This window comes from Homo sapiens, chromosome 8 (genome assembly GCF_000001405.40).
Source record: "Homo sapiens chromosome 8, GRCh38.p14 Primary Assembly".
In the NCBI taxonomy this organism is placed as follows: Eukaryota; Metazoa; Chordata; class Mammalia; order Primates; family Hominidae; genus Homo; species Homo sapiens.
Window position 1 is genome coordinate 17,377,505 of NC_000008.11, and position 13,934 is coordinate 17,391,438.

The window sequence follows — 13,934 nt, forward strand, 5'->3', positions numbered from 1 at the left end:
TTTTCTTTTCTACTTTGTTAATTTCTGGTTCCTTAATAAATGTTTTAACTTGCTTTGCTTGGGCATGCCATGTGGTTTTTGTCTGTCTGTTTCTAAATTTTCAGATTTCACAGTCAGTTTGTTAACTGTCATTCTTTTTGTTTAATAACAAAAGTTTTTAAATTCAATCATTTTCCTCCAAGTATATCTCAGGTTTTATCCTGTGAATATTATTCATAGTATCCTCATTCTTCTTTCTAGATGGTCTATAATTGCACTTTTTATTTCTTCTTTGACCTGAAAGTTTTTAAGGGAAGCATTTTCCAAATTCTCATATGGTTGGGATATTTTACTTAAACTTTTGTCATTAAACATTCTATTTTAAAGTAACTACGATAAAGATATTATGAAAGTATGGGAGGAGAAAAATAAGGGGATAGAAACTTTATTGAGATAATCATATTGAGCATAAGATAATACTTTGAGGCAAAAATATTTGATATGGATTATTCTCCCTACAGAAGTAGAGGAAGCTGTATCACTTAAATTATTTTTAGAAAAGCTCAGTGGAGCAGAATAAGGTATGCAGATGTTGAGAGATTAGAATACTACCATTGAGATGGGATTTTTCCATGTCTTTTTGTTAACTTTGGATGCTGCTGCAGGAAAGTCACATTCCAAAATTTGGCAATAGTTCCTACAGGTCCCAGAGCTGTCAAAAGTAATTTTGAAGATACAGAGAGGGAAAAAAGAAATAAGGAGGGGAACACCAACAGTATGATTTCCCAGAGATACTAACAATTAAAAATGAATTATAAAAATTAAAATTCAGTTGTCTTAGAAACGTTATGAAGTCAGAAAGCACTGTTCAGGGACCACCTCACAGTTTATACTAAGACGTTGAAAACGATCTAAAATGAAATAAATTTCAGAGTTTGGGCACCATCTTGAAGACCCACTGACTCAGTAATTCAGCCTTACTGTTGGGCTAACTTAATTCTGTCTCATCTATACATATATGCTGTACATACTACAAAGTAATAAGGCCAGTTTTATACTTAGGGAGAGCTAAGACTAAGGAAACAACCAGCTTCTCAAAACAAAATTGTTGCAACTCATTTGCCTGCTCCCAGGAGCACTATGCTTAAGACATACGAGGTATTCATACTCTGAAAAAGGCTATGGAAATCTATGCAAAAGATATTACACTATATTATTAATTCTTGGATGTACATTTTTTACATTCTGGTATTTCTAAAAATGGGACACATCTGATGACTGATGTGTAAAAAGCTATTGTGTCATTTCATTGGCAGTGCTTCTTTCTTCTTTTGTGGTTCATAAAATCTTGCTGCCTCTTAGCATCACTGATGTCTTAGATTTGTTGAAATGTGATAAATTTAGTCTTTAGCACATAAAAGATAATAATTGAAGCCATGGGACTAAAAAAGGTTACCCAGGGCGAGCAGGCAGAGTGAGAAGAGATCTGAGGAAAGCCCAATGTTTAAAGGTCTACATGAAGAAGAGGAATCAGAAAAGCACAGAAACAAAGAAATGGACAGGCAGGAGGACAATCAGGAGATTCTGCTATCAAGAGGATAGCAGAGATAATATTTTAAGAGAGAGGGAGTGTCTATGTCAAATGCTGCTGAGATGGAGTAAGGCAAGAACTGTAAGTGGCCCACTACATTCAGGAACATGGGGGCACTGGTGGTCTTAGCAGGAGGGGTCCTGGAAGCATGAGGATCATAACCCATGAAAGAGCAGCTTGAGGTGTCAACTCCCAGGCACTGAGAAAGTAGATACCACTCTTTGCCAAAGTGGGGTTTGAGCGGGCAGAAGCAGATAGTCTGACCACGCGAACTCCACCCCGGAGCAGCAAGAGCCACGTTAGCTTTTCAGAAGCAACTGGCACGTCAAGACATTTGAAGGAAAGATGCCTGTTAGTGCTACCAACCGGGGCATCTGCACTTGTGATACACACGGGAAATAAAATGACTCCATTAGGCCGGATTGAGAAATACATTTTAAAGGATTAGAAGGAGATGGGGATCGCTGAGCAAAGATTTGTTTATCCTGCTTGTATTGCTTCTCCAATCCTAACAAACTTTCGCCCCCAGCTTTTAGAACTTGCCTTTTTAAAACTAGGAAACATGTACTTATTTACTTAATGTTTAAAGATTTGGAAATATAACAGGAAGAGAAGAAAATCACCCCTAGGACCATAATCCAACACAAGCACTGTTAGTCTTTTGGGAAAAATGCCTATACCTCATGTTAAGTGTTTTTGGGGTTTTTTGATTGTTTGTTTTTGTTTTTGTTTTTTTAATTAGGTAGTGAAGCACCACAGGAAATAATCTCCAGGGATGGAGTGAACAAATCTAATCTAAACTGTCTGAAGGCACCGTTTCATTGCAGTATCAACCCTTCCTTTGCCAAAATCTTCAGAACAGTTGGCTATATACCATAACGCACTGAGGGTTTGGAGGAGGGGAGAGTAATTAAGGAAGAGCTAGGTAATTAAGGAAGAGCTGTGCCACAAGACAATGACACATAAACGGATGGTGAGTCGATCTGCAACGTGAACTAATTCAGCAGCAAATGATTATGCCAGAAGGGACTGTGAAAATGCAAACCTCCATGGGAACTGGCAGAAATTCTGTGGAAAGCTTTGGACTTCTGAAGGTAAGAGAACTGGGGCATTTCAAAGAACTCCACCAATATCTCATGAATCAGGCCAACCCCAGTTGTCAGTTTGTTTATGAAAAATCACCAAATAACAATAAAAACAATAACAAATATTTTTTGATATTCGACATCCATGCACTGCACAATCACTCTATATACCTGAGCTCAAGTTAATCCCCACAGTAACCCCCTGAATTATAGGTTCTTGCATAATCCCCATTTCATAGTTCTGTTGAACTTGAGACTTGACAAACTTTCCCAGATCCTGCAGGGAACAGGTGGCGTGGCCCGGCCAGCATGGGTCTCCAACCTTTCGGCTTCCCTGAGCCACACTGGAAGAAGACGAACTGTATTGGGCCATACCACACACGTAAAATACACTAACAACAGCTGATGAGCTTAAAAAAAAAAAAAGGACCATGCATAATTTTCATGATATCCACCACCACAGACAGGCAAAAACATCCTCAAATTCAAAGGGCAGGACACCCGTGCTAGAGCTAAGGTCTGTCTAACTTCAAAGCCACGTTCATCCTTCACCATGGCTGTGGTGAGCACTTGTAAATGCCTTTGAGGTCATTGTAGAATTGTTATTCAAAATTAATATGTTTAGCATAGACAGTTAATAATTATTGTAAGAAATCTTATACATGAAATTAGTACTTGAAAATAGAATGCTTTAAGACAAAATTATACTGTAAAACTATATTCACAAACCACTATCACAATATTATTCTTTTAGATAAACCCAAAAACAAAAAGCTTGGCAATGGATACAAGAGCCCAAAGATTGACACTAGCAGACTTCGGGTATTCTCAGAACTAATGAAAGAGACAGAACACTAAACATCTAATTCCATTCAAAAAGATGCCTATGTGTGGCACTGTGTCAGGTTCCGCAAAAAAAAGCAAAAGGGTGAACAAGGTAGCATCTTTGTCTATCTTCAAGAATCTTATAGATTCAATGGAAAAGACTATGCCCCAGTTTAATGGCTTTTTTGAATTCCTGTTCTTCCTCTGTTGGGGTTAGACTGAGGGGAAAAAAGGGTTTCATCATCTTTTCTAGGCCAAGGCTGAAAACGCTCAGTCAAAACCCTGGGCCCCACCACCGCACTTCCAGGTCTGAGGAGGCCACACTGGCGGCCCAACATAGGTCCTCCTTGGCCTTCCCTTCACTGCCTGGGCGTCAGGAAGACCTCATAAATCACCGAGAGTCAGAGCCTTTCTTCAGTGATCCTCTATTGTGCCACCTTCGAATTTCAATCTTAGTAGAATGTGGGTCTTTCTATCCTGCAGGTCAAATATTGAAGTGCTGAACATTCAGGGTTCCAGAATCATCTCAGACTATTTGGGTAAGTAAAGTTGCTCCGTAGGATGAGGAATCCAAAGTGCAGGGCCGGGGTGCCAGTCATTGAAAAGGACAGAAAGCAGTGGCACTGGCTACCGGCTTTTCTCAGGCCAAAGACCAAGTCCTCAAAACCATATAAATCAGGCTCCAGATCACTGTCAGTCATCTGGGGGAAGAGATCCAGGGACTGTTTAACAGAGAGAAATCAAAATCTCTGCAGCAGCCAAAACCAAAGACAAGTTTATGTTCTAATCTAAGAAAAGCAGCTAGATAAATAGTTTGTTGTGCTAAAATTGGTATCATGACATTTTCTAACTCTACCAACATGAAAAGAAAAGTATTTGTGAGTCAAGAGGCCTGGGCTCTGGTTCTGGTTCTGAAATTGAACTGCTGGGAGCAGGCAGTTTAGACATTATCCCTGCATTTTGACTTCTATAAGGGATCTAAAGGGTCTTTAATGTCTCTCTCCTTTCTAGCAGACTGCAGCTGTGACCCAGTGGTACTTCATAGACTACCTACGAGGATACAAAATGGCAACAGTGAAAATGCATACAATAATGACTCAATATTAAATTTTCTGGAAATTAAGTCACTCGGTAACCTGGATGGCCAACACGACTTTTGTGACTTACTGAGGAAAGGAAGCATCAGCCACAGCAGCAATGATGCTCTAACAGCCTCTGAAGCTGGCCCAGAGGCTGCACTGATATCCAGTGTTCTGGTCCCAAAGGACTGTGATAAGCATCCCAAGGCCGAGGGCACCAAGCCCACCAGCCTGGAGGAACAAGCTGCCCAGCCACAGTGGCTCTTTTTCATTTTCCAGATTCCTTCCCCATCTCGAGCTCTTCTTCTTTTTTGCTTCTCTTGGGGAGTTAGGAAATCACTGGCTAGAAACCCTAGAGCACTTGGTAACATTTCCTGAGTTATTTCTGTCTCTCATAATTAAGTATCATTTGGATTTAAAACTGAATTGATGAAGCGTCTTGCTGTACTCAAAAATAAAGACTTTCATTTGACTTTATTTTAAAATCTATTTAGCACATCCATCCGTCCATCCATCTTCTTTTCTTTTTGCAATCTTTAATGTTGATATTCACGCTACACGGCATGCAGAACAATCTTAGTGTCTCAAATGAAATACCCACCCCTTGGTCAGAAAGTGCCTGAGTGATAAGGAGACCTTGTGCAGAAACAAAATTTGAGACCACTACAGTAATGAGAAGCTAAAAATTCAGACAGAGTCCTTTTTTTCTCAATGTTCTTCCACTGTGAGTAGAAATGTTATATGAGCCACAAAATGTGCAGGTGTCAAGCACAAAAATGAACATTAATATTGCACTTTAAAATACACAACAGTTAATGTAGTTCTATTACATTGTGCAGTAATTAGCACAGTGATTAGGAGAATGCAGTGAGGGTGCAGGGCATTGGCTGTAAGAAGCACTCACAGGGCACCAAACTGTCAGGACAGAATGTCTTGAGAGCGGCTGGTGTTCCTCCGAGATATGGGGGGGCCGGGATCCCAGGGCCTGTTGGCAGCTCAGATAAGACACATCCACCACCTGGGGGGTGTGGAAGGTCCCAGGGAAGGGAGCCGCTCTTAGATACCAAGGTTGGGAGGATGGTTCTGGGCATCAGTTTTACCTTTAAACAGTGCCCACCCTCTCAGTCCCTACTTAACTAAGTGCTGATGCCAAATCCAGGCAATCCAGGATGAATTTTTCAGAAAAGCTTATGGCAAAGGAGGCAGCGTAACTGTGGTGCGTTCCTTTTAACCCTTCCCTCAAGCAGAGGGAGCAAGAGGAGGAAGGGTAATAACAACAACGAAAATACTTTTACCACTGACCACACAACTACTGCGCATCAGATACTGTGCTAGGTATTATCCACATGCTACTTCTAACCTTAGCTGAGACAAAGACATGAAGAGCATGAAAAATCAATCAACTGCCCAAGCCTCGCATCTAGAAAGTGGCAGAGCCAGATTTCAAACCAGAAGTGTCCACTTCCCTGGATCTCTCCCATACCTGACCACTTCAGTCTGGGTCTAATATTGCAAATGAAGGAAAAACATCCTGGCTCAACAGTCTCTCCTCCATCGTCCCTGAGATTTCAGTTAGAGAGGAATATGTTTAACAAGTTAAATGCTCTAGCTACAGCTAAAAGATTTGGTATCTGGTACAGACCAGCTTGGCTGGCCATGTGACCTCCCTGCTTGCTCATTTCTCTTGTCTGGAGGGGCAAATCCCCGAAAGACTCGGTTCTCCCGGTGGTCGAGGGATTCTCTGGGCGGAGCTCTGAAGTGTGCACCAGCATGTTTCAAATCGAAAGGTTCAAAGGCCTCCTGCAGCTTTGGAGGAACCATGCAGGAACCAAGCCCCACTTCTAACCAGCAATGCAGTAATTATAGAAACATCTACCATATAGAAATTCTCAAGTCATTTTTATTTATGACAGGTGTCACTGTCTGTATAATGGTTGCTAAAAAAAGATGTTTCAAGTTGGAGTTCAGAGTTCCTGGACAAATGATCCCATCTGTAACTAACTGCATGTGTGAGAGAGGGGAAAAAAGCATACATCTCACTAGTTATTAAAAAATAATTGTTATTGGCTGGGCATAGTGGCTCATACCCATAATCCCAGAACTTTAGGAGGCTGAGGCAGGAAGATCACTTGAGGCCGACAGTTCGAGACCAGCCTGGGCAACAAGATGAGATCCCCATCTCTACACAAAATAAAATAATATCTAGGCATAGTGGCAGGCACCTGTAGGCCCAGCTACTTAGGAGGCTGAAGTGGGCAGATGGTTTGAGCCCAGGAGTTTGAGGTTATAGTCAGACATGATCGTGCCACTGCCTTCCAGCCTGGATGACAGAGTGAGACCCTAACTCTAAAAAATAAATAAATAAATAATTATTAACAAACATATCCATAACACAGACTTCAGAGTTTTACTTCTTGCTCCCACCTCATGTCCACAACTTCATTTCTCCTGTGTGAAACTCACAGAAACAATAGAGTATGCAAAAAATATAAACTACCCAATTATAGCTGGCAAAGTACTCTGACATACAAGAAGAAAAACTGAAGCTATAGCAAATTCTCCAAACAATGTAGAATTGCCATGATCTCTTATAATTACAGAAAAAGGGCATTTGGTTTTTCCAATTTAAAAAGAAAGCACTTTTTTCCTATTTACATAAAGTTACTGAAACAAAAGGTGGCAACCATGAAGCTTCAGGAGTTTTTAAATTCAGCCTTTTGACAGAGAAATAAAGAACGTCAACTGTTTTTCCAAAAGGAGTATTTAATCTTTCTACAGCTAAAAAACCATTGAAAGTCTTTTCCCAGGACTATTTTATTCAAACATCAGAGATTAGAGAAGAATTGAGCATAATCCAAGAAAATATATGACACATAACCAGAAGTAACAGAGACTCTACCTTTCACGAAATCCCTTAGATACCTCTGGTATAATGAAGAAAAAATGCTGGTGGGATGCACACACAGGGATATATCTGGGAGGCATGCAAAGAATCCTATTCTCAAGCTGCCTAAAACAATTAATTCTTCAAAAACTGCATTCTGCTGTGAAACTAAGTTATTTCAAAAACATAGTTAATATAGTTGATATCGTTTGGATCTGTGTCCCCATCCAAATTTCACGTCAAATTGTAACCCCCAGTGTTGGAGGTGGGGCCTGGTGGGAGGTGATTTGATCATGGGGCAGTTTCTCCTGAATGGCTCGGCACCATCCCTCTTGGTACTTGATATGGTTTGGCTGTGTCCCCACGCAAATCTCATCTTCAATTGTAGCTCTCCCAATCCCCGCATGCCGTGGGAGGGACCTGGTGGGAGGTAACTGAATCATGGGGCTGGGTCATTCCTGGACTGTTCTCGTGATAGTGAATACGCCTCATGACATCTGATGGTTTTATAAAGGGAGCTTCCCTGCATAAGCCTTCTCTCTTGCCCACCACCACGTAAGAAGTCTCTTTGCTCTGCCTTCGTCTTCCGCCACGATTGTGAGGCCTTCCCAGCCATGTAGAACTGTGAGTCCATTAAGCCTCTTCCCTTTATAAATTACCCAATCGCGGGTATGTCTTAATTAGCAGCATGAGAACACACTAATATAGTACTGTCCTCACGATGGTGAGTTCATTCTCAGGAGATGTGGTTGTTTAAAAGGGTACAGCACCTACCCTGTCTCTGTCTTGCTCCTGCTCCTACCATGTAAGAAGTATCTGCTCCCTCTTAACCTTCCACCATGATTGTGTTTCCTGTGGCCTCCCGGCAGCAGATGCCACCATGCCTCCAGTACAAACTTTGGAACCATGAGCCAATTAAACCTCTTTTCTTCATAAATTACCCGGTCTCAGATATTTATTTATACCAATGTGAGAATGGCCTAATAGTCAATACAATACAAAGCAAGCTACTTGTGAAAGAACCTTGTGAAAATTAGACAGCTGCTGCCCATCAATTTAAGCCCTTTTAATTTAATTAATTAAATCTGCTAAATTGTGGAGTGCCTGCTCTGTGCCAGGCACCCAGACTATTTATCAGACTCTCCTGGCCAGGAGCAGTGGCTCACACTTGTAATCCCAGCACTTTGGGAGCCTGAGGCAGGAGGACTGCTTGAGCCCAGGAGTTAGAGACCAGTCCAGATCATGCAGTGAGACCCTGTCTCTACCAAAAAAATTTAAAAATTAGCCAAGCATGGTGGCACATGCCTATAGTCCCAGCTAATCAGAGGGCTAAAGAGGGCAGATCACTTGAGCCAGGGAGGTCAAGGCTGCAGTGGGCCGTGATCATGCCACTGCATTGCAGGCTGGGCAGCAGAGTGAGACCTTGTCTCAAAAACAAAACAAAAAGTTCCTAACTGGTAATACTGCCCACAGATGATCTGATTCCACCTCTATCTCCTAGGACTCTTATAGGAGCAAGAGACAGAAATCTCAACCTCATATGGCTTGAGCCAAAAGGGCTTTTATTGGATCATACGTCTACAAAGGTCAGTGATAGGGCTGGCTTCAGAAGGGGAGATGGGCTGAAAACACTCAGCTCCTCACCCTCAAACTCTTGGCTGGGCCCTCATTGCTGGCTCTCAGCAGGCTCTGCTCATGATGGCTCCAGTTGCCCCTGTCCCATCTCCTGCCACATCCATGGCCATGAAGAAAAGCGCCAGCTGCCCTTCTTGGAGCCCAAGCCAAGTATCACTGCATCTCACTTGGTCACACGCTTACCCCTAAACCATTCAGTGTGGTCATGAAATGACATGATTTGGGTAGCTGGATTGGCAGTACGCCACACACCAAAAAAACATACAAACTGAGCATAGAGCAGGCATGGCTCCTCAGAGGGAGCCTGGGAGAGTGGATGATGGGTGACCAAAGCCCAGCACATCCTGCCACACAGTCTAGTCCCCAGGATGGCACTCAAACAGTAGTCACTCTAGATACACCCTGATCATGTCACTCTCTGTTCAGAGCTACAGTATCTCCCCACTGCTGCTAACCGGGCCTTCCACAACCTAGCCCCACCTTACCGGCTAAACAGGTTCCTCCTTTCATTCCCAAAGCAGTCACCAGTCTCATATGATAGATATCACTGATCATTCTTCCCAGGTATTCTGATGTACCAGCATCTATGCATGTGAAGATATCCCAGGTATTCCGATATCCCAGATATCCCAGGTATTCTGATGTACCAGCATCTGTTTCTTCCTCTACCAATATCTATTTAGCCTGGAGAGCCCATATCATCATACTTCAAACTCTGGACAGAGCCAGTTTCAGCCAGGTTACGTGAAGTACGGAGGTACAGATTTGAAGACTAAGACCCAGTTTCAAATAGACTCACAATCCAAGAAGTTTAGACAGACCCAGGGGAGCTACTGGTAGAAAAATTCACCCCAGTAATCTTGATACAACTTTGTAAAGTAAGGGGGAAAGGATAAATGAATATATCTAGACTGTTTTGTTATGTTGGTTGCAGAGAAAGACATTAAAAATGAATAAAGATCTTGTAATTCTAAGCATGTCAGAAGGATTGTTAGTATATCGGTGTCCCAAGTGAAGAATGTATCTATTTCCCAATTTGACAGAAAATTTAAGTCCTTCCTCCACATGGGAGGTACTTGGGGTACTTGATACACACATTTCTACAGATTTTGGAGCCACCTAAAATCTCTAATTCCTATACGTAAAATTATACTGATCAGAGAAAAATATGCTTTGAGAAATTTCCATTTAAAAGGAGAAAAATAAATCACCCAAACTTCCTATTCAGATAAGGATTATTGTATCTAGTTTAGGTCAAGGTAAAAAAAATTCTTGATGATTTTGGATAAGCCTGAGTGTTTATAAATGGGCAGGTTGTTGAGTTCCATCTACCTATACATTTGTTAAAACAGCAGATTTGACTGACGTTTAAGGAAATTTTAAAAATTCTCCTAAGGGAATATACAAGCTAAAATAGTGACACAGCCAAGCTACGTAAGAAGTAAGAGTGATAGAAATTCTTAGAAAAGGCAGAACAAGAAAAAAGTGCCCATTTTTGCTCAGGAGAAATTACAAACATTATGCCAGCAGCCAACGCTCATAAATAAAAATTCAGGCACTTGAGAATTTTGCAAAGGGCCCATATAATTTATTTTGGTAGGATGACCCTGGATATGTAGGCTTAAAAGAACATGCACTGTTGAACAAGAGCAAAGTCCCAGGATTTATTTCAACACCACCTTAAAATAACCCCAACCAAAAATACCATTTTCAACAAGCATAAAGAAGAGGAAAAGAAGAAAAAAGAGGTTAAAAGAAAAATAAATTCAGGACAGATGCTGGTTCTTTGTAACTCAGTGAATACATGATGCTTTGTATCCCAAAGAGTAAATGTATGGAATGACCTACTAAAGATAGTTGGGTTCAAAACAATAAAGTCATTTTAAAAACATATACTAGTATAGGGAGAACAAGACCTTGCTTTGAAGCAATACAGGAAGTCAGAGGCTCATTTGATTATGATTTTCCTTTAACGATATTTCTAAAATTCTAAAATGATTCTGAATTTGACCTATTTTTGACAAAGGCACTAACAGCAAAGGACGAAACCATCTACTTATATAGCTCTTTGGGAACTATGGGGAAATATTTTTCCAAGGGCAAGTTGTGCCAAATAGAACTTACTAACCAAAGGGAGGAGAAAGCCCAGGCACAGAGAGACCCAAGTCTCATGCTCTCCCTCCCACCAACCCCTGGCAAGTACCAGTGCCAGAGGACAAAGGGGTACACTCTGTCCACCCAGGCCAAGGCCAGGTTCCAGCTCATTTACACATTCCCATGCCTCACTCCTCGGCTTCGAAGACCCCAAGGACAGACTGCATAATTGGCACCATATTTTTCTCTTTCTCCTCTTACAGTCCGGCCCTAAAGTGTCCATCATTCCCACTCTGGGAAATGAGTATAAAGCAGAATGCCTTGCAGACCCAATGATGTGGAGGCCTCTTCTGAGGCCCAATAAGCAAAGCTGCATGATTGCCTGCCACAGTGCACTCTGAGGTCACCAAGAACAGTAAGAAAAGGACACTGCCACTCACCAAGTGCAACATACTCACCTCCAGCCTGACACCCAAGATCCACCTCCTTAATAACACCTTTCCTCAACTACCCCAGTCCACTGGGATCATTCACTGTCCTCTGAATTGCTGTGACCTCTCTGATCACTACTTGGTTTCTACTTATCCTACACTACTTCATTACACGCTATCTTTACTGTACACTCTAACCATTACCACAATCATATTCTCATGGGAACCCAAGTTATTTTATTCCTAATATTCCCTGCAGCACAATGAACAATGCTAGGCAAACACTCACACTAGAACTGTGGGAAGAAAGGAAAAGAGACACACGGTCCTTGGCTTACTGGCTTCCTGAAACAACAATGATCACACTTCAGAACATCACAGCAACCCTCGGTGGCAGGATCCTTGAAGATTGGCACTAATGTTTTTGCCTATCTTTGTAGCCTGATGCCAAGCACAGATGCTAAGTATTTGTTCAATGAATGAAAATTAACAGTACTATGGTAAAAATAAATTATGTGATGGCTTATAGGTAGAATTAAGTATGATTAACCCAGAATGCTTTATTATTGAATTTGACTTTTCAGACAGGAAGTTAGGAAAGATTCAGCTGTGGAAGATGTTGCACATACAGGAAACAGAGCAGAGACGGGGAAAAAATAAAACAAAACTTCATCTGCAAATGTGAAAAGTAGGGCCATATAACTAAAATGGAGAATACTGGAGGAGAAAAAAAAACATGTTTGTTGAAAGATATTGAAAGATACTGAAGCTTCGACACCAAGTCACATTAAACCGTTTCCTTTATCCATTCATACAACAAATATTTATTGTGCACCTTTACTCTGTACCAGACATAGAGTGTTCTGAGTGCTGGGGGCACATGAATTGGGAAGATAAAGTCACTGCTCACATGGAGTTTGTACCTTCTGCTTGAAGGTGGGAAAGCATGGAAACAGGGAATATGTTAAAAAAAAAAAAAAAGAAATCCCTCATGTATTAGCCTGTTCTTATACTGCCATAAAGAAATAACTGACACTGGGTAATTTATAAAGAGAAGAGGTTTAATCGGCTCGTGGTTCTGCAGGCTGTACAGGAAGCAGAGCGGCTTTTGCTTCTGGGGAGGCCTCAGGAAGCTTCCAATCATGGTGTAAGGCAAAGGGGGAGTGAAGCTTCTCACATGGTGGGAGCAGGAACAAGAAAGAGTGAGGGAGGAGGTGCCACACTCTTTTAGACAACCAGATCTCAAAAGAACTCACTATCACAAGAGCAGCACCAAGGCGATGGTGCTAAACCATTCATATGAAATCCACCCCCATCATGCAACCATCTCCCACCAGGCCCAACCGCTAACATTGGGGATTACAATTTGGCATAAGATATGGTGGAACTGTATCACCACGTATGTGTGCCAGAAGATTCCTAGAGAGGAAATTAAAGCAGGATAAGCAGTTGAGTGAGGAGGGCCAGCAGGATACTGTATTAGTCCCTTCTCATACTGCTATAAAGATAGTACCCAAGACTGGGTAATTTATAAAGGAAAGAGGTTTAATTGACTCACAGTTCTGCATGGCTGGGGAGGCCTCAGGAAACTTACAATCATGGCAGACGAGGAAGCAAACACATCGTTCTTCACAAGGGAGCAGGAGAGAGAAGTACAGAATGAAAGGGGAAGAGCCCCTTATGAAATCATCAGCTCTCATGAGAACTCACTACCGCTTACCAGAGTAGTAAGGGGAAACCACCCCTGTGATCCAGTCACCTCCCGTGAGGTCCCTCCCCCAACACGTGGGGATTACAATTCAGATTACAATCCAAGATGGGATTTGGGTGGGGGCACAGAGCCAGACCATATCAGGTGCCCAGGGAAGTCTTCTCTAATAACATAATTAGATATTTCAGTAGAGAACCAGAATGAGTGAGAAAGCCAGCCATGGGGGTATCTGGGGAGAGCATTCCAGGCAGAGGGAACAACAAATGACAAGACCCTGGGCAGGAACAGGTAGATGTGGTCAAGGGTCTACGAGGACGTGAGGACTTCTGGATCAGCATCTGTGAGGGGAAACAAGTAGGAGATGAGGTGCCCAGTAGATGGACAAACCTTGTAGGGCCTGCCGGGACAACGTTATGACTTTGACTTTCACTCTGAGTAGGGTAGGAAGCAACTGGAAGGTTTACAGGGGGAGGGTGGCAGGATCTGGGAAAAAATCTTTTAAAAATGGGAGATTTTCCAAAATCTTAGCTTACAGTGATGACATATATATTGTTTTAAAGAACTGCAATATTATTTTTTTACTAAAGAATTTTTACAAATTCTTTACTACACGGTAAGTT

The 13,934-nt window shown here is 41.8% G+C and overlaps 1 protein-coding gene and 1 long non-coding RNA gene across 4 annotated transcripts in view; one reads left to right on the forward strand and one right to left on the reverse strand.

Annotated features, from left to right (window-relative positions):
• LOC102724838 (uncharacterized) overlaps positions 1-4,655 on the forward strand; it is a 37,115-nt gene extending 32,460 nt beyond the window's left edge. Inside the window, exons 2-4 of the long non-coding RNA XR_428318.4 lie at positions 2,313-2,664; positions 3,964-4,019; positions 4,492-4,655. This is a non-coding gene — a long non-coding RNA (uncharacterized LOC102724838). The remainder of the gene's footprint in view (positions 1-2,312; positions 2,665-3,963; positions 4,020-4,491) is intronic.
• The window catches only part of MTMR7 (myotubularin related protein 7), a 116,558-nt gene that overhangs the window by 80,711 nt on the left and 21,913 nt on the right, over positions 1-13,934 (reverse strand). The gene's annotated exons all lie outside the window — the stretch shown is intronic.